Genomic DNA, 23652 nt, shown 5'->3' with positions numbered 1-23652 from the left:
GGAGTTCAAGTCTAGCCTTGGAAACATAGTGAGATCCCCCTCTCAAAAAAAGGCTGGATAGATCAAGTGCAAAAGAATTCTTTTGGTAAAGAATTTCAATAGAGATTTGAAATGGAAATCCCAGTGACCTATTTCTACTTCAAATGTCTGCTAAACATAGATAATTACAATTCATCTTTATTTATTTATTTATTTATTTATTTATTTATTTATTTATGCTATTTAGAAATCTTGTGCCCCCTTCCTCCTGCACAGAAAGGATGCTTTGTTCAAATTCTTAGGCACTTGGTGTCCTCAGGGAGATCCTGTCAGTGTGATGACTCTTCTTGTTTTGACAGGAGCTCCAATCTGTTAGATGGTATTTTGAAGCAGGTCTTTGGGTAAAGGACACCTAGACCCAGTGAAGGTCATGGTGATTATTATTGGACAATGGGACATCACTCTGCTATTGTAAGTAATTGGGGTCAAATGAAATCTTCCCAGAAATAGTAACTGTGCTGTGCCTGGCTGATCCTGGATTCCCAGAAGTTCTCCATTCATGAGTAAATGAGGCACATAACAGAGAATAACCCCTTTCTGCCAAGCAGCCTAGAACTGAGCAGCATTATCTTGGGATTGCTGCAGCCAGGATGGACGGATTTGCTCTGGCTTAATTTGTTCACAGTTTCCAGAGGGAGCAGTGCTTTCTTCTCCCTTTAAAAATGTTTATTCGAATTTGGTGACTCTGTTTGCAATTTGGCTGGGAAAGGCCACTGTGACACAGGTCAAATAATGGGACACTCACTTCAGGCTAAAATGGCCTTCCTCACCTCTCCAGCTGGCTGACTCTTCATTATCTTTTAAAGCTCAAAGGAGGCATGATTTCTTCTAAGAGGCCTTGCCAACTCCTCCCAGACTGATCTTCTAGTGGCTCAAGACACTTCCCTCCATGTTGATGCTGACATACGGAACTGTCATTATCTGCAGCCACACTCCCATATCTAATGGATCTCCAACACCATCAGTTCCTCATCTTAGAATAGCTCAAGTCTGCCCACTTTTGTCCATCTTCTTGCCATTGTCTGGATTTAGACCACCATCACCTCTCACTTGGTTTGCTTCAATTACCTTCTCTTTCATACTGGCCCCTGCAATTCTGTCTCTACCCTTACAAATCTAAATATACCATAGCCTTGTTTAAATCCTTTACATGTAACTTCCAGAAAAACTAAAAAGTCCAGATGAGCCCCAAACAAATCAATATAAAACAGAACATAATAAGCATGCAAAATCTTTTCCTCCAGATATAACAACTGTTAACATTTAGCTGCAGAGATTTCTAGACCTTATTTTCTATTTATACACATATAGACATATTTTTCCAAAGTAGAATTGTACTAAGTATTAGATTATAACTTGGTTTTTTTACATATACCACATATTACAGTTTATTACCCTACGGATGGATTTTATCCACATTATTCTATTGTATTTCATTATAGGTATGTTTTGTCCATATAAGCAACTCCATCATTGTTTTATTCTTAAATACTTTAACATTTTTCACTTTGTAATGAATATTGCAAATTACACCCTCATTTAGAAACTATTATACCCATCCTTAAATAATTCATTGGGAATTTTTTTTTACTAATGAAACCGTTCCATCTTTTTCTTTCTCCTTCTCTTCCTTCTCCTTCCCCTCCTTTTCCCCCTCCTTTTCTCTATAAAATAAAATAAAAGGAATGGTTGAGTTAAGGATTTATACATTTATATATATTCTTTTCCTGGTATAATATTTGCAATATCATTTCATTATAGCTACATTGTACCAATTATGCTTATCTATATTTTAATAATTTCAGAATTTCTATACCATTATTTCTTTAGTCTTAGGACTTTAATTCTGTTCCAACTCTCCATTGGTTCTGGAACACCTTTAACTATTTTTAAGCATTTAATGTTAATGTCATCTTTTTAAAAACTGTTGCTTTCATACATAAATTCGGCGGCATATGAAATTCCTGAGTCACAAACTATTGTCTTAAAACTGTAGATGTTTTTCCATGATGTTTTGATATATTTGTTTTTACAAAGAAATCTAAAGTCACTGTGCATATTATAAATACATAATTTTGTGCTACCTGAAACTTTGGGGCCTTTTTCTTTAACCTTTCTAATTGCAGGGCCTGGCATGCAGTTGGAATGAAATAAGTGTTAGTTGAGAGAATGAATAAGAATGCTTTGGCAAGATGTGATGCTGAAGGTGGGAGGGAGGTGGGGTCTCGTTCTAATTACTGTGCTTGAAAATGGTGAGCCCTGGGAATTTGTTCACACAAGACTCCTCCTCCGTCTTTTATTAAGCTCAGGAAGGGTTTCTTCTATTGTAGGTTTGATTCTGCTTCTTTTCCATTTATTCCGGTTTCTCTTCCAGGAACACTCGTTGCTATCTTCCATTCCTATTTTGTTGTTTTCATTTCCTTATCCTTTCCTTTGACGTTCTGGAAATGCATCTCAAATTTGTCTTTCCAGGAATGGATTGGGTGTTATGCAACATGAATTACACCTGTTTTGATCATTATTGCCTCAAGCATTGCTCCTTGATCATTCTTGTTCTTTCTTACCATCCTATTCCTTTACCCTCCCTGCCTTTTTGCTTATGCCACTGTTCCTATTTATGTCTTCCTACAACTTTGCATGACAGTAAAACATTTCCTTGAAATATATTTTTCTAGTCACTAAGGTATTTACATATACATAATTTTTTTTTCAGAGATATCCTTTTCTTTTGAGCCTTCCAGATGTTGTTCCTTTTTCTTGGTATAAAGTGTACTTATACAGTTCCAAATTATTTATGGTTTCTCTATTTTTTTCTCAAAAATAGTATCCAGATTTCTTTTCCGACTTGATGATTAGAAGCAGATATGTGAATAAATTACTCTTGCCCCTGCTTTCTGTTCATTGTACAGTGAACAAATAAGACTTTTTCCTGACATGCATCTGGAGGCAGGTCAAAGCTCCAGGCCAACTCCAAGTTTCTGATGGGGTCTCTAGCCAATGGAAGGCTTCTTCTCCTTCAATTGCCTGACTCTTCAGGACTCTTAAATACTGCAGTTAAGTACATGCACACTCACTCCCCATCCCCCATCACACACACCAAACCCCACACATCACACACAACTCTCAACATGGTACTGTTACTCAGAGAACTTTTCCCAACTCACATATTCAGGGCTTTATTTGGGGAACTACACATTGCATCATATCTTATGTCTGCCCCTACATCCTGCCCATATTTCCCCATGGGACTTGTTTTCTCTTCCAGAAAGTGGAGACTGGTATAGAGTCCACATTCTGCTTGCCTCACAGCCTAGTAGCATCTACAGCTCAGCAACCCCTGGTCTGGTGGGCCAGATCCTGACACACAGGGCTCCATGCTTCTGCCTTGCCTTTGTCTGGCTCCCTTTTTTTTTTTTTCTCGGAATCTTGCTCTGTTGCCCAGGCGGGAGTGTAGTTGTGCAATCTTGGCTCACTGCAACATCCACCTCCCGGGTTCAAGCGATTCTCCTCCCTCAGCCTCTTCAGTACCTGGGACTACAGGCGTGCACCACTACACCTGGCTAATTTTTGTATTTTTAGTAGAGATAGGGCTTCACCATGTTGGTCAGGCTGGTCTCAAACTCCTGACCTCATGATCCACCCGCCTCGGCCTCCCAAAGTGCTGGGATTACAGGCGTGCGCCACCATGCCTGGCCTTGGCTCCTTTTTTTTTTTTCTTTTTGAAACTAAGTGTGGCATGGGCATGGAGGGCTCCTTGGCTTGGTGTTTCCTAATGCAGCTCCATCTGCCTTACAATTAGTGTCAGTTCCTCTCTGATTCTGACATTAGACTGTCTGTCACTGGTGGTTTTCCATAATAATGAGTTTTCATTTTTCCCATCTTCTAGAAGTGAGAAAATGAGACAGGTTGCACTGAGGGCTGTTAGCCAGACAGAGTCTCGAACTGGAAGTCCATCTAGATGTTTTGCATAAGAGAATGGAAACAATCTGTCTGTGATTTAGGGACATACTCTGGCAGCAATATGGGAATACAGTTTCAATCCTCATTAACAAAACAGGTATGAAATACATATTTATTTAGTAAGGTGCCAGCTGTATGAAAAATCCATTTCTTATTTCCCATAATGTTTCTGAAATGTCTTAGCAGTGCATAGAGACAGCATGTCATCATTTTCTAGGGACTGTGTGTTATTGCATTTTTCCTAGGGAAGATCTTTTCTAGGTCACCTGCTCCTTCACTAAAGCTCTGACCAATCTAGCTTGCTAACCTGTGACTCCATTTTCCTAAGTCCTGAGAGAGAAAAACGCTTTGCAGCAAATTATGCCAGGCATCCTTGTGTCTAAATGAAAAAAGGAAAAAGCCTCCTTCCTTCCCTCTGTTGAGAAGTGCACGGTCCACATATGCATGCACAGCATATACTGTGAGGGTATTTGCAGTCCCTTGGGTTGCTTTGATAACTGGCCAGGTTGCTGTTCTATTTTTCCACATTCTATTAATCCTCCTACAGGCAGTTATTAGGTATTGAGTGCTCACACACCCCTGGCATAGTCACCACATGCCATTAGCTCCAGATAAACTTCCAGAAAAAAGTCCATCCCCCACTTCTCTCAGCTGCCTGCCAACGCTGGACACCTTCTCACCAAGCCAGCAGGACAGAGAAAAGCCTGGGCTTTAAGATCAAACAAACACAGCTTCAAATTAGGACTCTGTCACTTCCTGTGTACTGGGCACTTTGCTGAGTATGTGGTTTCTCATCTGTAAAACAGAGAAAGATGATTATCTCCCAATCTTTCTATGTTATATGTTTGAATTAAATAAGGTACTCTCCATGAAGTGCTTGGACTTTATTTCCATTTTACAAATGAAGTCTCAGAAAAATGTCATGACTTTCCCTTTTGGTGCAGCTATTAAGAGACAGATCCTGCTACTTCTCAGTCCCTGCCCCTCAGCTGCTGCCCCTTTGGGTTCCAGACTCACAAACACAGAGGCTCAGCAAAGAAACCTGCAACTGCTTTGTCCTTTGCTAGTCCATAATTATTCTACAAACACCAAGATTCCTTGATCTTCAATGTAGGTCTACCCTTAACAAGGAAGAGGCTGTATTGACCTTCCTATTGGGCCCTGGAGACTTGCCTGAGGTGTTTAGAAGCCTAGGAATGGATCATATCAGAACAGCCCAATCACCTAAAACAATCCTCTAAAAAAGAGGTCTTTGAGTAGGGTCAGGGCCTCCTGTGGGTCTCTGGGACCCCTTCGGGGGATCTGCAAAGTCAAAACTATTTTTACAGCAATCCTGAGCTGTCCTTTGTCTTTTTCATTCTCATTCTCTCTTGTGTGTAGAGTGGAGTTTTCTAGAGGTGGCATCATGAGTGATATCACAGCTGAATGGAAACAAGCATCGAAGAGATTTGCAAAAATGTGAACAATGCAAGCTGCATTTTTGTCATTTTGGAAAATATGAGTTATTTAGCATAACGTATTACATTTATGTTAACATTTTATTATTGTTATTTACAATGAATTTATAAATAATATTTTTAAAGAATTTTCCACTTTAACTTTTAAAATGATAAATATCTGTAGAGATAACTTAATCTGCATCCTCAAAAATTCTTTTGGGTTCTCAATATTATTTTTAAGAGTGTAAACTAGAAAGTTAAAAACTGCTGCCCTAAAATATGTCATCAGGATAAGGTACAGTTGGATTTGCCCATCTATTGTGTTTATTCCTGTGCTTATGCACCCAGAAGGGTCACAGTGGCATTTTTCCTGGTTCAGGGGATTCCAGATCCTTTGAGTAAAGAGAAGGGCAGCGATTTGACTTGTCTGATGGCACTCAAAATTCTCCAAGCAGGATGTGTCCTCATGAAAATGCCTTTGGTGATGGAGCTCAGGCCTGCTGAATTTGCACACTGATTAGCTATTGTTCACTGATGAGCGGCACTCAAATGACCATTATACATTCTGAAATCCTAGGCTTGGAAGCTGTCCTTTTCCAAGATGAGACCCTGAAGACCCTACTGGGCTTCATTTTGAGCTTGGACAGTTGGGAGCAGAAGTAGAAGTTCTATGCCAACTGGTAACTCCTTAGTGACTGTCTCTGGGGGTCCCAGGGTTCTCATTTGGATCATTTTCCCTCTCAATTGCTTCTCAAATGCCCAAGTCTTCCACCATCTTACATTTCCCCCTCATCTAACCCTTTAGAAAAGGAGCCTGATAAATTAATTTATACTGAGGTATACTGACTGATAAGACTTGTTATGTGGCCGGGCGCAGTGGCTCACGCCTGTAATCCCAGCACTTTGGGAGGCTGAGGCGGCAGATCACCTGAGATCGGGAGTTTGAGACCAGCATGACCAACATGGAGAAACCCTGTCTCTATTAAAAATACAAAACTACTTGGGGGTGGTGGCACATGCCTGTAATCGAAGCTACTCGGGAGGCTGAGGCAGGAGAATCGCTTGAACCCGGGAAGTGGAGGTTGCGGTGAGCTGAGTTCGCGCTATTGCACTGCAGCCTGGGCAACAAGAGCGAAACTCTGTCTCAAAAAACAATCAAACAAAAAAGACTCATTATACATCCTCTCCCTGGAAATTTTGTATTTTAGCAAATGAATGTGTCCTATCTTCTAGAATTTTAGGCTTTAGAAAGTAAATGAGTAAAATATCCCTGGCAGTGAGGACTTTCTGGTGTTTATTAAAGCATTCCAAAGCAGGCACTGCCTCGCTTCTTCACCTCTAAGGGAAGCACTCATTAGCAGAGCAGTGACTGTAGGACTCCTGTAATCTGCCCCTGACACTCTGGTCTTGGTGCAAAGCAGGCAATGGCAAGTTAGAGACTTGGGATACCCAGAGGCTGAGAAAGGAATTAGGACCCTTAAGCTGTGATGCTCCCATTCCAAAGTGGCAGGAATTGCACAGCAGGTGTACAAAGGGGAGAAGTGGCCTGTGTTGGACATTTACAGAGGAGGAGAGATAAAGGATTGTGAGGGGATACCTGGCCAGCGGTTTAAAAAAACCTGGTGATATCATAATATTCAATGAATTCATCATTCATTGAGGACTCACATATCAGACATGGTCCTAAGAACTTTTCTTCATGATCCACTGTAATTTTCATACTAACCTCATGAAAAAGGAATTGCTTTTATCTCTATTTGACAGATGAAATAATTGAAGCAGAAAGAAGTCAAGCAATTAACTTGCAAGATCTCCCAATAGAAAGCAGGAGAACGAGGATTTGAACCAGAAACTCTGTGTCTTCATCCTGCTCCCAATATGTACACTCTTCTGCTCTTCTTAAGTCAAAGTTGAAGTCAGAAGGCAGTGATTGCCCAATAATGTTCAAATTTTTCCATGGCACCAAGTATAGTGTCTGGAGGGCTGTGTTATTTGCCATCATTTTATGGGCTAGTAATTATATGTCTGTCCATTTCCTCTTTTGGAAGATGAATGGCAGTGTTTTGTTATAGTCATCTCACGGTCCAAGCGGCAAGACTCTCCAGTGACAGAGTTTAGAGCATGCTTTTCATCTCAGGTGTGTTTTCCAATAAGTGGGCACTGAGGCATAGATCACCCATTTGCATACTGAGTCCTGGACAGCTCATCTCAAGCATAATTTGTTGTACATCCTGGTGGACTCAGCTCTGGAGGCCACCCTCTTTCCACTCTTTCCCCAAGGTTTTTATCCTTCCTTCTTTGAATTTAACCAATACCATCTCCCTCATTCTGACTTTTATCTTCCCTCGACTTTCTTCTCATGGTAGTACATCCTAGAACTCCATCTGCTAACTACCTCCAAGCTGAACACAGAGGTTCAGCTTCCCAGGTGCTATTCACCACCCAGGTGCTGCTCCTCATGGATCGCCCTCCCATATGGTAGCCTGAGCATCATGGTGCCCCTGGGCTAGCTACAAAGATGAACCCAGCACATCTTTGGAGTAACAAAATAGGCGAGGCTTATGGTATCTGCAGTAGCACACAAGCTCCAAATACAGCTATTTTGTATTCAGGGCTGCTTTGATCTGAGGACTCTACCATCTCAACACGTGGCCTCCAAACTCACAGCTCAAAGCAGAGGGACAACCATCTAATAGGGGCTTTTCACAGTCTCAGTCTGGGAGTGACATAGTCCCTTCAACTCACATTTCATTGGCCTGAACACATCACATGACCCCATCCATGGGATATTGTGAACATGTGGCATTACTTCTGCCACAAGTTTAAGATAAGGCCAGACAGAAGGTTCTGTAGGGCTGACTGACAATTCCTTGGTAGAGGTGCCAAGGTGAGGGTTTTCTGACTCAAATGTTTTGCCGCTTGGGCTACCTTATAAACCACTTGGGCCTGATTGGCTGTCAAAAAGAGCATTTCTTTGGGAGAAAAACTTTCTGGGCTCACATTCTCATCTGCTTAGTTCCAGAGCAATGCTGGCTTGGGATAGCATAGCCTTTCCATATATGAGTTTCCTGATTTTTCTAAACTAGGTAACTTTTCTTGCTCCGCCTTTCAAGCAACCTAAATTATGAGGCCGTCATATCTCTGCTGTATTCAGAAGCATCAGCCAGACAGAGCAGAACCTGCCACAGTGCAGAATTCCTGCTCTGACAGCCAGGCTCCTCTCATGCTCTTTCTCACATCAGGTGTGCTCCTTCAGATAGAGGGAGTATGATGGAATTTGTCATTTGTGTTAATCTGGGCACACATCATTACTGTGAAGTATACCAGCCTGGGATGTGGGGTGGTGTTTCTTTCCAGAGATCACTGCTGCTGGGCTGAGATGGGAGATTTGTGATCCTGGTACAATTTCTTATAGATATGCTTGTGGTCTTACATCCTTCCAAATAATAGCAAATCTCCATTCATTTGATTCCTGGTATCTATGGCACTTCTCAATGCACAGCTTAAGTCTGGGGCAGCCCACCTACCCACCTAGCCCTGACCCTGGCTCTGCTTCACTCCTGAGGCAGGTCAGGGGCAATTGACTGGGTCTAGGATGAGTAACCTGTAGACCCCCACTAGGTAAATGAGCCCAGCTTGGAGCTCACAGTCCAGCTCTGATAGTGGGCACCTACCTTCTCCTCAAGTTTATCTTCCAGGAGATCTATCATCTTTGGAAACTGAGGGAGCTTTGTAGATGCTCTAATATGTGAAAGTCCTTCTACAGGAGAGTTTTACGGTCACTTCTGAAGTGCACCATTGGATTGACTTATTCTTAACTCATGTTTCTATTTAGGCTTTACACTGGGATTTCTATAACCACAACCAAGTACTGGCCCATTGCACAATTCCAGACGTGTGGTCACTAGTCTCCAAAGATGGCCCCCAATGAGCCAAGTTTCATATTATTCGCACCCTTGTGTGGTCCCGTCTCCCTGAACCCTGGCTGGAGCTGGGACTCATCCTCAACCAATGGAATGCGGCAGAATGGACATTTCATAATTTCAGAACCTGGGTCATAGGAGTCCTTGCAGCTTTCGCCTGGTCCTCTTGGAACCCAGGTAGCACCAGAAAGGGAGTTCTGGAGAGGCCCAAGTGAGGAGGAACTGAGGAACTTTCCTGGCGATCTTTGCCAGACTTCCAGCGGACAGCTGGCACCAGTGCCAACAGTGCCAGTCAAGCCATTTCTGGCTGAGTCTCAGACAGCATGGAGAAAAGATGAGCCACCTCACTGTATTCCACTTAAATTCTTGACCCTCAGAAATATGAAAGGCAATAAACTGATGTTTTAAGCCACTAATATTTGGGATGGTTTGTTACACAGCAATCAATAACCAGAACAAGGACACATGTTCATGTGAATGATGTTCCCTGAATGTGTCCAGTGGACGTGGCGCCTCGCACATAGTGCCCTGTGGCTTTGAGATCCTGTTTCTTGAGATTTCTGGAGGGATCCGGGACAGGCCTGGGATGGGCCTAGGTCAGATGGTTAGTTTTCCAGATTTCCCATCTCCCAGTCACGGACTATGCAGAGCTTTGCCAGCAATAGGCTTATTTGGGAAGCCTAGTTCCATGCTCTAGAGTTGGAGCATTGACTTCTGCACAGGAGAGTGAAAACACCAGCCTCTAAATATTGCATCTGGATCCCCACTGTGCTCTGCAGAGCTTCAGCTCCCACAGCCTTCCCACTAAAGATTTGGCCTTCATTTCTGACACCTACAAATTTCACCTTCTGCGTTTGACCTAAATCATTAATATTTAAAATATGCATAATATTATATTATTATTTATAAATAATACATGTCTAATTTTCAGTGAGATTACTGATGGCCTACAAAGGAGGAATTCTAGAGGCTGCTCCATCTGACATTTTAACTTGAATTCTCAATGTTTTTTCTAGAATATTTTTGGGCATTTTCCTCCTACATCACAGGACTGTGCTAGCAAAACTACGAATATACTGACTCCTAAAAGAGGCAAACTCATTTAGAAAAGTGAGATTATGTCCTTGGTTTCTAAATTATTTAATTCACAGTTGTATTCTATTGTTCCTCCAGGACAGATCTGACAATTGAAATTCTGTATACTGTAGGAACCAGTGGTGGTGGCTCCTGATCAGAACAGTAGCCGCTCTGCTCAGTCTGTGTTCCTTCTTAACAATCACAGAAGGGCGGTGTCCTTAAGATTACACCTGCTTGTAATCCACCTCTAACAGACAACAGCTAATGGAGCTGGGCAGCTCACATGGATCTCCTAGATAATGTAGAGGACTTTTCCCCCCATTTAGATTTTAATGAAACTAGCAGAAGGAAATTCAAGCTGTACCATCCAGTGAGAGAATTAATATACTGAAATGTAGTCTTTTGATGGATACCCAAATGAGCACGTGGCTATCAGGGCAAGAAAATGGAGAGAAAAATAATTACAGAAGAAAGGAAACTGCAGACAGAGCTGAGGTGATTATAGAAGCCCAGTGAGAAATGAATAAAATATTTTTTCTCAGAAGTAATTAAGTAGCCTTTTTAAACCCCCAACTTTTATTTAGACTTATAAGCTTAAATACATCTCTGTTTCGGTTGTTCCTCTGCTCAGGGATTTCAGGGATGATCCAGTGCTCTAATTTATTCCATTCCAACTCCTGCTCCTGGTTGTTGGAAGATTCCATAGTCTGGCCTCCACCTACTCTTAGAATAGTGGTTCTTAATTTTTGAATCACCAGGTACTTTATAAATTGTGGATGCCTTCACACAACAGAAAAATAGATGGAACATTGTAACTAACTGCATGCTCACTGCACCACTGTGTTTATATTATTAGGCTCATTACCCAGCTTCCATAATTAAATTAATTTGAATTTTGAATAAAATAACTTTGGCTACAGTGTGAAGAAGGCATAGAAAAGCACAACAACAAAGAAAACATGAAAAATGGAAAAGTAGAGTGGAGAAGGCAGGAAAGTCTTATAGTTGAGTATCTATGGTTTCTGACAATTAATTAAATTAATATTATGTAAGTATATATCATGTGTTAGAGCTTTGCTGTATGCTGAGTGCAAGGGGAAAGCAATTGTATAAAAACTAAAACAAAACAAAACAAATCCAGTCCCTGATCTGCAGTGGTTCACAGTGGGAGAGATAACGTAAATAAGCAGCTTTAATACAAAGCAGATTGTGAATACTGAAATGGCAAAGAGAAATACCAGTCAATCATTATGGGGAAATAGAGATCAGATCATATGAGGATATTTGTGGAATAGTTAATGGGGAAAGTAAATAATGGGGATACCTGGGTCCCACCTTCAGAGATTCTAATTGGTTAGAGACAGACCCAGCCATCTTTTGCAAACCTTGGCAAGGCTCCTCTATTGATTCAAATGTGTAGCCGGTGTTGAGAAGTGCTGCTATAGGGTCTCCTTTTCCACCACTTACAGGGAACTGTGGGGCAATGGGAGGAACACTCCCCTAGGAAGCCTGGGCACAAGTCTCAACCACCCAAACAGTGACAGTAGAGAGCAACAGCTAACATTTCTTGAGCAGGCTCTGGGCTAGGCATTTTATGTGCATCGTCTCAGTGTTTCTCAGCACTGGCTGCAAATTAAAATCACCTGGGAAGCTCTGGAAAAGTACTAATGTCTTGGTTTGGCTTCATACCAATTAAATCAGAATCTTTGGTGTGAATGTGTAGGTGTATTTTAACTATGTATTTTTTTTTCAAATCGAAAGCAGTCACTGTTTATTAACTGACAAGATTACAAAAATAATCATGGCAGACACCTTATTTTATCCTTCTAATGAGCCCATTAATCTGGTCTTCCCTGTTGCCAACATCTCCACCTCTATAAAATGAGTGGTTTTTCTCTTCATTCCATCTCATAGAGAGGATAATTTGAAGGGGTACAGGAAGTTATTTGCTTCTTTGAAGTGTTTCCAGCAGTACAAATTTCATGAATCAGATCCTCCACGCAGATGAAGCCAGATCAAGCAATCAAATTGGTATCTATCATGGCAGTTCTCTTCTTATTGATCTTGCCATAACAATGCTTGTAGATTAGTTCATTTAATGACTTCAGGTTTGGGTACCCTCGTGCAATATATGGTTCTACAATCCTCAGCATGCTAAGCTTGTTGAGCTTAACAAAGCTTCCATTGAAGATCTGACAAAGGCGAAGAAGCTACAACACCTTTTGGACCTTTGGGCTCACATCATTGATATCTCTGATCCTGATGACAAATGCCAATTTGCGTTCTGCAGGTACATAGAAGTGGTCAGCTTTTCTTGCCATCCTAGCCATTTGAATTTCAGTTCTGTCCCATCTGCCTGTACTCCTTGTGATAGTGTTTCACTTTTTCATCAATAAGCTTCCAACTTGCCTTTGGAAGCATCTCTTGAGGCAAACTTGTTTCTCAGGTGCTTGATCTTCAGCTCTGTGAAATTCCTTTGCTTTTTCTTAAGGGTTTCTGGCACAGCAGGAAACATTTCTTCTCTTCAATAGAATTTTAACTATTCTTGCAGTTGATGCTTATAGGCAGAATAATTGAGAATCACTAGACCCCAATGCTATAAAGGTCTCTTGTGCTTGTATTTATGAACCTACTCCTGTATGAAGTCTTTGTTCTCTAGCCAAGGAAGCCTGTGTCTGCCATTTTCTGAAAACACTGCATACTTCTAGGCATCCTGTTTTCTAGGTTAGAATGGCTTCCCCACCTATCTCTGTGGGAAACCTGCCCATCATTTAAGATTCATCTATTCTGGAAAGGACTTTCTGAATTCTCTTCTTAGAATACAATTTACCTTCTTTGAAACTCTTTTAGCTCTTGCTAAAACAGGAATATAGGAAGTACAAATGGCAGTTTAGTCACTAATATTAGAATCTAGAAACAGTTAATTCACAGAAAATAATTCCTCTGCTCCTTTCCTCTGCTTTCTTCCCTAAAGGGAGGCCACTGTAGCTTTAGTCTTAGGAGGTTGGGGTGAGGATCAAAAGAATTGGGAATAATCCAAAAACTCATCCTCTACAAACCTACCCAACTTTTCAGATTTGGTCAGAAGGTGGCCTTTCTAATATATTGCAAGTAGGAAGGGTTTTGGATACAGCAATTTGAGACTGAAGAGGGATCAGGGATTGAAAATCGTGGAAGCTATGGCTTGAGTTCCTAAGGTCAACAAGTACCTGAATGACTAGAGAGCTACTGCAGGTGCTTGCAGCACCAAAATAGGTGTTTTGCAGGAGCTTGCTCAGGAGTCTGAAAGCTTTAAGAATTTTTGGAAGCAGCAGGAAATCAGCTGATTTCCAGGAACTAGCCCAGAAGGTGCTGATAATCTCACGTTTGCCATCTGCTCATGTTCTGTTAGCCCTGCTACAGAAGAATAATGGTTTCTCCTTCTCATCTTTTTTTTTTGGTGGATATTCTGTCATAATGCTTAGTAGAGTGTTAGGACATATAAATATTTTTATATTCATCTTTCATTCATTCATTTGGTTCATTCATTGCTTCAACAAATATTAATTGAATAACTACTGTTCTAAGTTCTTGGAGAATAAAACAAAGATCCCTGTCTTATAGTGAGGTTAGGCAAACAATCAGTGGTAAATTCAATAAATAAGTAAGTTATAGTAGAATAGAATGTGACAATTGCTGTGAAAAAGGGAAAAGTGAAGCAGAGTAAAGGAAGTCAGGAACGCTGTGGTCTGGGGCTGGTGGGCTCTATTCATCAGGTTGGTCACAGAAGGCCCCAAAAGAAACTGACATTTGAAGAAAGATTTGAAGGACATGAGGGAGTTAGCTATACAGACTATGTCTAGCTTCTGTCTGTGCAACAGTGACCATACTGTTATTGTCCAAGAACAGTAAGCCAAAGAAACCTGAATTAAGAGTCACTGGAAGTTGTAAAACTCTTAATTATTAAAATTGAGAACAGGTAATAATTATTAATGTTAAGAGTTTTTGGCAGAGTTCAGTCAGAATGGAGTCAGTAATTGCTGAGCAAGGGCACAGTTGCACAGGACCAAGTTGTGGTAGCTGTATTTTGTCACTCTATTCCTGGGGATCCTAAAAGTGTAACCTCCCCCAGGGACTCCTGAGAAACGTAATGAGGCCGCCAAATTCTCAAAAGTGTTTTGAACAGATACTTAGTTACTCTCAAGCCTCTTGAGGAGAAGAATGACCCTGCAACTCCTGGCTCCTTATTCCTTTTTCCCTCACAGGCAAGATGGTGGAATTCAAAAGGAAGATCAAGCTGGTTACAATTCAGCTAGAAGACCCTGGGGAGGCCACTTACCCTCTCTGAGCCTCATTATCCTCTCCTAGAAAATGGGAATATTTACCTCAAAAAGCTGGTGCAAGGGTGAAAGCAATGATAACTTTAAAGGTCCTGAAGTTTACTGCTCACCACTCACCTTCCTATGTGAATATCAGGGAGGGAAACACAATTGCAATTTATTTGATCTGTGTACAATCCCCTGAGTTGAATGGGATAGGCTAAATGTATAACTTCATAACTACTACTTTTCTCAGGCAGTGTTAAAATGTTTTTAATACTCAAAGATATTCAAAAGGTTTCCAATACTTGGGCAGAGGCATCTTCTGACCTGCTTTGGAATCTAGGCGCTGACTGCCAGGTGCCCCAATCCCAAAGCCCTGAGAAAAATCTAATTTTTCCTTCCTCTAACTATAAGCTCCAGCATGTTTGGGACTCTGTCGTTTTCCCTCATAGCATTTGCACTGGACGTTGGGATTACCTCCCCAGCATCTATTTCTCCTGCTTTTGTTAAGTACCCTGGCTTTCAGTTGAAGTATCCATCTTACCTGTTCAGCCCATGTGTTTTGGGGAAGTCTGAATTTTCAGGAGTGAGACATTTGACTTCAGCCTAAGCTCATCAGTGTAATTGCATGTCTTGTTCCATGGATTAGTTCAAATATGACCCTATAACTTAGTTATGTCAGTGAGGCACATGCACAGGCTTGTCAAGCCCTGCTGGGAAGGGTTCCTTCCTATATTTCTAATAAAACTTGCAGAAATCACATTTTATCTCTTTGCATGTGGAAGAGAGTTCCCATGAGTTACTAGCAGGCATTTGTTATGGGCTGAATTGCATCTCCCCTAAATTCATATGTTAAAGTCCTAACCTCCAGTCCTTCACAATGTGACATGCTTAGAGATAGGGACTTTAAAGAGATAATGAAGAAAAAAAGATGAGGTAATTCTGGGTGGGCCCTAATCCAGTATAACTGGTGGTGTCCTCATAAGAAGAGAAGATTAGGATACAGACATGGACAGAAAAAAAGCCATGTGAAAAAAACGGAGAAGACAGCCATCTACAATCCAATGAGAAAGGCCTCAAAATAAAATTAGCCAACACTTTGATAGAGGACTTCTAGCTTCTAGAACTGTGAGAAAGTAAATTTCTGTTGTTTAAGCTGCCCAATCTTTGGTATTTGTTACGGCAGTCCCAGCAAACTAATACAGCATCCTATAACCAGCCTTGGGAGCAAGGCTTAGGATGAGACTTCTCCTCTGCCCTCTACCACTGCTGCATTGCTGAGGCAAATAAAGTCTAAAGCTTACTCTATCACTGAGCTTTCGATGATGAAAGCAAAATTATCCTTTTTATTGCTTTATTATTTTACCTGTAATTTGTAATCAAATCCACTGTGGGTCCTTAGCACCTGGAACCATGCCTCGCCATAGTAAGTGGTTAATACTGTTTGTTGAATTACGAAAGCAAAGCAGGAGTAAATAATCACAGTATGGAATTGTCCTAAGTTGACTGTGGAAACTGAGTGAGGCAGGGAACAACAGGAGAATGGGAGTCAGCTTGTTACTATAGTCTATTTTCTACATTCCTTCTGCATGGGCCAGAAGCCAGCTATTTCTATTATTAAGTGACAAGCTGATTCATAAAGGTGACTGACACTCATTACAGCAAAAGTTGTTTAATTAGTTGGCTTCTGAAGATGTAAGAATCCCCCTCAACTTTTGCAGTTGGAAATTTCTAATTAGAATCAAAGGACCATTAGAACCAGATCAGTTCTGGCTTCCTAAAGATCATGGAGATAACCCTTGTAATTTTAGAAATGAGAAAATGAAGGTTTAACAAGGGTAAATGCCTTTCCCAGGTCACATATTGTGCTCTGAAGCAAAGGCATGGAATATAAAGAAACCCAATTTTTCTAAGAAAGAAAAAGCTTTACTGGGAGAACAGTTATTCTTTTTAGTTGAATTATTCACATAGCGATAGGACAATGCCATTTTTTCTCCTGTTTGAGAGAAACTGATTTTCTCAATGAACATGGCCCACCCAGCTCTTCTTGGTGGAGGAAACAATGATGGCATTGTGCAGCTAGTGTAGGAATAATCCAAATAAAAGATATGTGCATTTATTCAGATGTTAGCCAATTAAAAAACTTTCAGTAGATGGGTGAAACATATGAGACAGAGAGAGATTTCCTAGCATTGAGTTAAAAAGAGCACAAAAATATCAGAAAAAGAATATATATTCAAAAAAACTTTAGCTCAAGAAACCCTGAAATTTTAGCGCATATTTTGCATTCTTTTTACATTTTGGGGACACTTTGACAGTATGGAATTAAAGGTGAAAGACGAGATAATAAGACATTAGATAGGTTGTGAGAAGGGAAACACCAAGAAGCTGACAGAAATAAAAAGGCACCAGATAATACAAAGGAAGAATGTTTTAAAACTTTTCATAGACAAAGCAACCTTTAAGATACTTCAGAAACAATAAAAAGTAGAATTAGCACTGCTAATCATTGAATCAAAATCAAATTATTGATTAATAAAGTATAAATTATTCTTCCCACGTAGAAGAATAGGACCAAGATATTTAAATGATGACAGAAAGGCCAAAATTACTAACATATAGACAGACAGTTAGAGTTCCTGAAGATAAGATTAAAATAAATGGTAAGTAATCTGTATTCAAAGACATAAAGAAAATAACCTACGAATTCACATTAATCAGCAGATCAAAAGAGCATATGGCAGCTCAGAGAACTCACATAACAGACGACCAAAAAATAGACATAACCTGGTGAAAGCATGAAATCTAAAAAAAAAAAAATCAGAAACAAAAGACAAAATTGGATAACCTATCAAGAAAGAAATCTTGGACTGACTTTAGATTTTTTTTTGGTAACACAAAATACCAGAATTAAATGGAGCAACATCTATGGAGATTTGAGTTATGAATTCAAGATTTCTATACCCATCTAAATCATTATTGTTGTGGAGTGAAGAAAAAGGCTCATAAAGAAATGCCAGGTGTTTATAATCTTATCCAATGACTTCTTGAAAAAAAAAATACTACCCAAAGTACTACAGAAAGTTGAGAGCTGTGTCGAAACACAGGAACCAAGAATGGGGAAGAAAACTCTTGATAAGTATTGAAACACTCAAATATAGAAATACACATTGATAATTATTTCAAGTAAAGTCACAATGAAGAAGATAAATGCCAAAACAGTTACAAAAATGTGATATTATTTAAAATGCTTAGTTCGGTGCTTGGCAAACAAGTGCAATAAAAAGAAGATAGATAAACATAATATTAATATCACATTAGCAAAGTTTAAAGCAAAGCTAATAAATGAAAAGACTTATGTGTGTGTATGAGAGAGAGAGAGAGAGAGAGAGAGATCAACATACATACACAAACATACATTAAAGATATGCTAATCAGGAGCCTTTAGGAACCAAATAATAAACCATTGAAATGTATAAAACAAACATTGATCAAAAATACTAAAAGATGAGAGAAAGTGTGAAAGGCTTTTCTTTTCTCTCTTTTTTTTTTTTTTTTTTGATATGGAGTCTCATTCTGCTGCCCAGGCTGGAGTGCAGGAGTGCAGTGGCGTGATCCCTGCTCACTGCAACCTCCACCTCCTGGATTCAAGCGATCCTCCCACCTCAGCCTCCTGAGTAGCTGGTATTACGGGCGTGCACCATCATGCCCAACTGATTTTTATATTTTTAATAGAGACGGGGTTTCACCATATTGACCAGGCTGATCTTGAACTCCTGACCTCCAGTGATCTGCCCGCCTCAGCCTCCCAAAGTGCTGGGATTACAAGCATGAGCCACCACGTCCAACCAAAAGTGTGAAAGTTTTTAATAGCACTTTTAGTCATCTATCATACGTTAAACAGGCAAAAAATATGTATATAAAAAGAGACAATATAGAGACCATAATTAGTAAAGGCAAATTCAAAAGAATAAGTACAAATAATGCATTGAGAGACTGAACATATAGACAATGGCCAGACCATATACATAAAATAGAACTCTTATCCACAACCTGCAGCAACCAGCTCAGGAAGCCAAACAATACCACCATAGCAATTAGCCCAACAAACCCAGAACTTGGTTCATAACTGATAGCTCCTTTAATTGTTTCCCTTGCTTCTAACTTAGGACCAATAGGAGAAAGGTAAATATGCACCCTTAAGCAATCCGATAAGATGCTGTGCTTCAGGTCAACTTCCCTAGGCCAGCAGCCTCCAATCAGGGCATAGCTGAGACCCTGCCTTTTTTTCCCCCTTGCAAAGCTTTTCCACTCAGCCTTTTGAGTCTCTGTCAACACAAGAAACTGTGGGCTGACTCCCAAACTCTGAGTAAATAGCCATTGCTTGTTCTCATTTGGATGGTCTTTGTTTAATTCCACAGCAATAAATTGTGTCTTACATTTTAGTATACATTAAATATTTTTAAGATAATAATTACATATTAAACCTCAAAGACACTCTTAATAAGTTCCAAAGAGCAGAAGTCCTTTCAGAAATATTCCTTGACTACAAGGCAATAAAATTAAATGTGAATTACAAAATATTAAAGAAATGGTCACGTAGAAATTAAAAAAAGACAGCAAAAACTATTAGTTTTTTTGGGTGAAAGAGGAACTACTTCAACAGTAAAATATTTAGAAAATAAAAAATAACATGTCATATAAATTGTATGAATTCAGAAAAAATTCAGTCTTCAATATTTTCACTATGAATAAAAATAAAAATAATGTATTGAGAATGCAACTCAAAATCCAGGAAAACAAGGACTGAAATCCACACAGGAAGGTGGCAGTGAACTCCACAGACGGACCTGGACGCCTCAACACTCCTGGCCTTACCTCCCTTGCTGAACGTCTCAAGTTTCTCTGCGTTCAGGTAATGTATAGGAGGGTTATGAGGGCAGAGAATTCCTAAGCTCATTAGTAAATTGCTCTTCAGAAAGTGCTTTGAAGCAAAGCTAATTTCCTTTCCCAATATGAGAAGATTTGGCCCTACCAGAAAAAGGAAATGATTTGAATGTGCGCCAAAAAATATGTTTTCTTTCTTTTCTTTGTTGAACACTCATCGGGAGTTACTCTTATTAGTTCCGCATTTTTATTGCATTTGAATAAAACAGACAAGTAAGTCTTAAAGATGGTAAATGAATAATTTTAATTGGCACTTTAGCTCATAAAATATAAACGGTTATTAAATTCATCCAGAAAATTGTTAGAATGGAAATTCTAAGAATTACAGAATGTGCCAAAATAGTGGCTTCAAGATCTATTTTCTTTCTAACCTCAAGATTAAGTCTACAGCCAAGATTCCTAATAGAATATATAGAGAATAATTAGTTAAGATTTTTTTTTGAAGGGATCAAAATTGTGGAGAAGTGGAGGTAAAACATAGAAGAGCAAAATAAAAACACGTGCTCTATTCGAATGTTCTAAGTGATGTGTTTTCTTTTCATGAATGTGTGAATACTGCTCTGGGCATTGTAGGGGGAAAAATAAGACAATCAAGTGTGGGTTCTTCTCTGATGCGCTGGCTAAAGTGAAAAAAAAAATGCTTTATTTATTTATTTATTTATTTATTTATTTATTTTGAGACGGAGTCTTGCTCTGTCACCCAGGCTGGAGGGCAGTGGCGCGATCTCGGCTCACTGCGAGCTCCGCTTCCCGGGTTCACGCCATTCTCCCGCCTCAGCCTCTGGAGTAGCTGGGACTACAGGCGCCTGCCATCGCGCCCGCCACCACGCCTGGCTGATTTTTTGTATTTTTAGTAGAGACGGGGTTTCACCGTGTTAGCCAGGATGGTCTCGATCTCCTGACCTCGTGATCCGCCCGCCTTGGCCTCCCAAAGTGGTGGGATTACAGGCATGAGCCACCGCGCCTGGCCGCTCCTTTTGATAATAAGCAAATTACCAGTAGCTGGCTAAGTATCACTAAGGGAGGAACGGAGAGAATCTCTGCTCTCAAAAAACCAGTTATGATTCTGTAGCTACTGCAAGTCAACTAGGGTTTTGTTTACAGGGACCTTTTTGAATAAGACTTAGTGTAGGTCTATGCTAGCGGGTTCTAGAGCATTTGTCCCCCGACATTTTCCATCATCTTTTAACTTGGGTAACCAAAAAAGACATTAGCCAATTCAAAAGCCACAAAAGTGCCTTTCTTTGATGCAGTAAGTCCACTTCTATAAACTTTTTCTAAATAAATAATACAGAATTCTCATACAAATTTAATTATGAGAATGTTTATTGCAGGATTGCTAATAGCCTAAAAATGGGAGAAAAGCATAAACAGCCAGCAATAGGAACTTATCTACATAATGGGACAATCATCCAATGGATCACTGCAGCCTATGGAGGGTGTGAAAAGTGCAGTCTGCCAAGATAATAAGTCATTAGAAGAGAGCGTAGCACTCTGGAAGAAGCATTCTCAAAGCAGGCAATGGGTGGACAAAAAGAGATTTGTTGTCTAAACTTCTCAGTTCTGGATGGAAGTAAAAGTATGGAGAACAAGCTATGCCAGAGACTGTTCCTTAATTCTATTTCTCCTTCTTCCTTAGGAAAAGGAAGCTGGTTTTATTCTGGCCAATGGGCCTGGGTTAAAAAAATAATAATAAATGAAAATATTTCCCAGGCTTTTTTTCACTTAGACGTTACCATTGAGATGCAAGGAAAAACTAATGGGTGGGAATTCTGGCAATGCCAATTAAGAGGAGGACAAAGAGCTGATATGAGCCCCTCTGTCCTTCCTCCCTTCTTCCTTCCTGCTGGCTAGAATTTGGGCATGATGACAGATGTTCTAGCAGTCATCTTGAACCAACCGCCATCTGTACCATGAGCTGAACTTGAGGGTGACAGTCCTTTAATACAGTAGAAATACAGAGGAGCCTGGGTTCCCAATGGTAAGAAAATGCAGCACGAGCCCTGGATTACCTACGTCCGGACTTCTTTACATAAGATAAAAATAAATCCTTATGAACTTAAGCCAGCATTATTTGGATTTTATGTTATGTGCGCTGAATCTAATTCCAGCAGATTCATCAACTCAATAAAGAAAAGACCAAATGGAAGTAAAAATGTTCTTCAAAGAATCACTCAAGACTACTGGTCTTTAATTAGGAAGGTGTTTTCAAGATGTGGGTCATGGTGAAAAAACATCATTTAATTAAAAACATCTGTATTGCCTTACCTGACAATGCCTATTAGTTCTTATTATTCTCCCTCAGAAAAGCCAGATATAATGTCTCTGAATTTAGTTTTCTGAATGTTTGTTTCATTGCTGATGTCAGTTGAATCTTATGATTTAAGCATATAGGGGAGGAAAGAATTTCCCTGTACTCTCCTAGGTTCGATAGCTGTGTCTATGAAATAAACTGACAACAGGCAGATTAATAAGAGAGAAGGCATATTCATTTTAATATTATGTTCATGGGGTGCCACAGGAAAATAATGAATACTCCTAAAAGAGATTTGAGAGCTTACATACTGTGTTAACAGGGGATGGGGAGGGGTGATGTAAGTCACTTAGGGTGGAGTAAATGATTCTGGGGAAAGATGAATGGGTTTTTAGAAGAATCAATGGGAGATATAACAGTTTATGAAAAAGTTTTTCTGTAGGTGGTGTTGACTTCCAGTTTCCTGTTTTGTGATAAAAGTGTATCTTTGCTGATTAATAAAACTCCCAGGGAGAGGATATATGGCAATTGAATTTCTTTTGGAGGATCTGTTTTTAGGCAGCTGAGTTCCGAAAAAGTCTCTCTTGCATTTGCTGTTGAAGTGCTATCAGCTCAAAATAATCAATATATGAAAGCAGCATATTTTGGGGTGGCATGTCCTGAACTCCTTTAAGAATGGTATATGACAAAGTCTGGTCATTCTTTAAAGCAATGCTTGAGAGTCAAAGACACACCTGAGCAAAGTGTATTGTCCTGAATAAAAGAGCAAAACAAGGAAAGAGGTTTGCAGTGAAATTCAAGCCTTTTGGAGAACTTTCACTCTTTAGTAAGTTACTTGAAGGAGTTTAAATTAATCATTTCTACAGTGAATGAAATAACTATAGCAGTAGCATTCACAGCTAGCATTTATTGAACAATAATATGCCTCTTACTATACTAGGCACTTTATATTCATTATCTTATTTAATCCTCACCACAACTCCAAGAGGTATTCCCATTTTTTGGATTGGGAAATTGATATTCAGAGAAATTGTCACTTTTCATAGGTCATAGGGCTCAGAAGTAGAAATGCTGAGATTCAAACTCATGTCTGAATAACATAAAACACTGGCAAAGCAAAATGTGAATTCAAAGAGGTGAGTTTGTGGAAAATGTTATGTTTCAAAGAGTGATTTAGTATATTATTTTATAGGGGAATAGCCATTCTTGAAGGTGTGAAGTCGTATCTCCCTGATCTTTGGATTTGCATTTCCTCTAATGACTAATGCTAATGAACATCTTTTCATGCTCTTACTTGGGATTTGTATGTCTTCTCTGAAAAAAACTTCAGGCTTAAATCCCTGTGTGAGGATTAAATGAGATGATCTACAGAAAGCATGTAGCACAGAGCCTGGTGCATGGTAAACACAAAGTTTAGTTTCCATTATTGTGGCCATGTTTGCTAGTGACTTTCCCTGCCACCCTACCTTGCCTACCCAGTACAATCGTTGCACTGAGTTATACTACCTCTGCAGTATTCATCTGGGAACATCTTGCTTTCTAAACATATCCTTCCTTCCTTCCTTCCTTCCAGCTCTGTTGTTCTGGTGCTCTCGTTACATCCGCCTTATGACTTTGGGACAACCTCCGGTTCCTTGAGCTTCCACTGTCTCTATGTCTTTCTGACCTTCCTTGGTTTGCCCTCTCCACAACAAAGTTATTTTCCTTCCCTT

At 39.8% G+C, this 23652-nt stretch overlaps 1 protein-coding gene, 1 long non-coding RNA gene and 1 pseudogene across 8 annotated transcripts in view; 1 reads left to right on the top strand and 2 right to left on the bottom strand.

The window, feature by feature from the left end:
• The window catches only part of NPSR1-AS1 (NPSR1 antisense RNA 1), a 487820-nt gene that overhangs the window by 110598 nt on the left and 353570 nt on the right, over positions 1-23652 (top strand). The window contains exons 4-5 of one of the 3 annotated variants that reach the window (NR_015356.2): positions 339-450; positions 3926-4872. The exons of the other annotated variants lie outside the window; for them this stretch is intronic. This is a non-coding gene — a long non-coding RNA (NPSR1 antisense RNA 1). Of the gene's footprint in view, positions 1-338; positions 451-3925; positions 4873-23652 lie in introns of those variants that run through there. 3 annotated transcript variants of the gene reach the window in all.
• NPSR1 (neuropeptide S receptor 1) overlaps positions 1-23652 on the bottom strand; it is a 220115-nt gene that overhangs the window by 154599 nt on the left and 41864 nt on the right. The gene's annotated exons all lie outside the window — the stretch shown is intronic.
• RPL7P31 (ribosomal protein L7 pseudogene 31) lies at positions 12252-12631 on the bottom strand (annotated as a pseudogene).

Source organism: Homo sapiens, chromosome 7 (genome assembly GCF_000001405.40).
Source record: "Homo sapiens chromosome 7, GRCh38.p14 Primary Assembly".
Taxonomy (NCBI): Eukaryota; Metazoa; Chordata; class Mammalia; order Primates; family Hominidae; genus Homo; species Homo sapiens.
The sequence above is the reverse complement of the archived record's forward strand: the minus strand, read 5'-3'. Positions and strand labels throughout refer to the sequence as shown.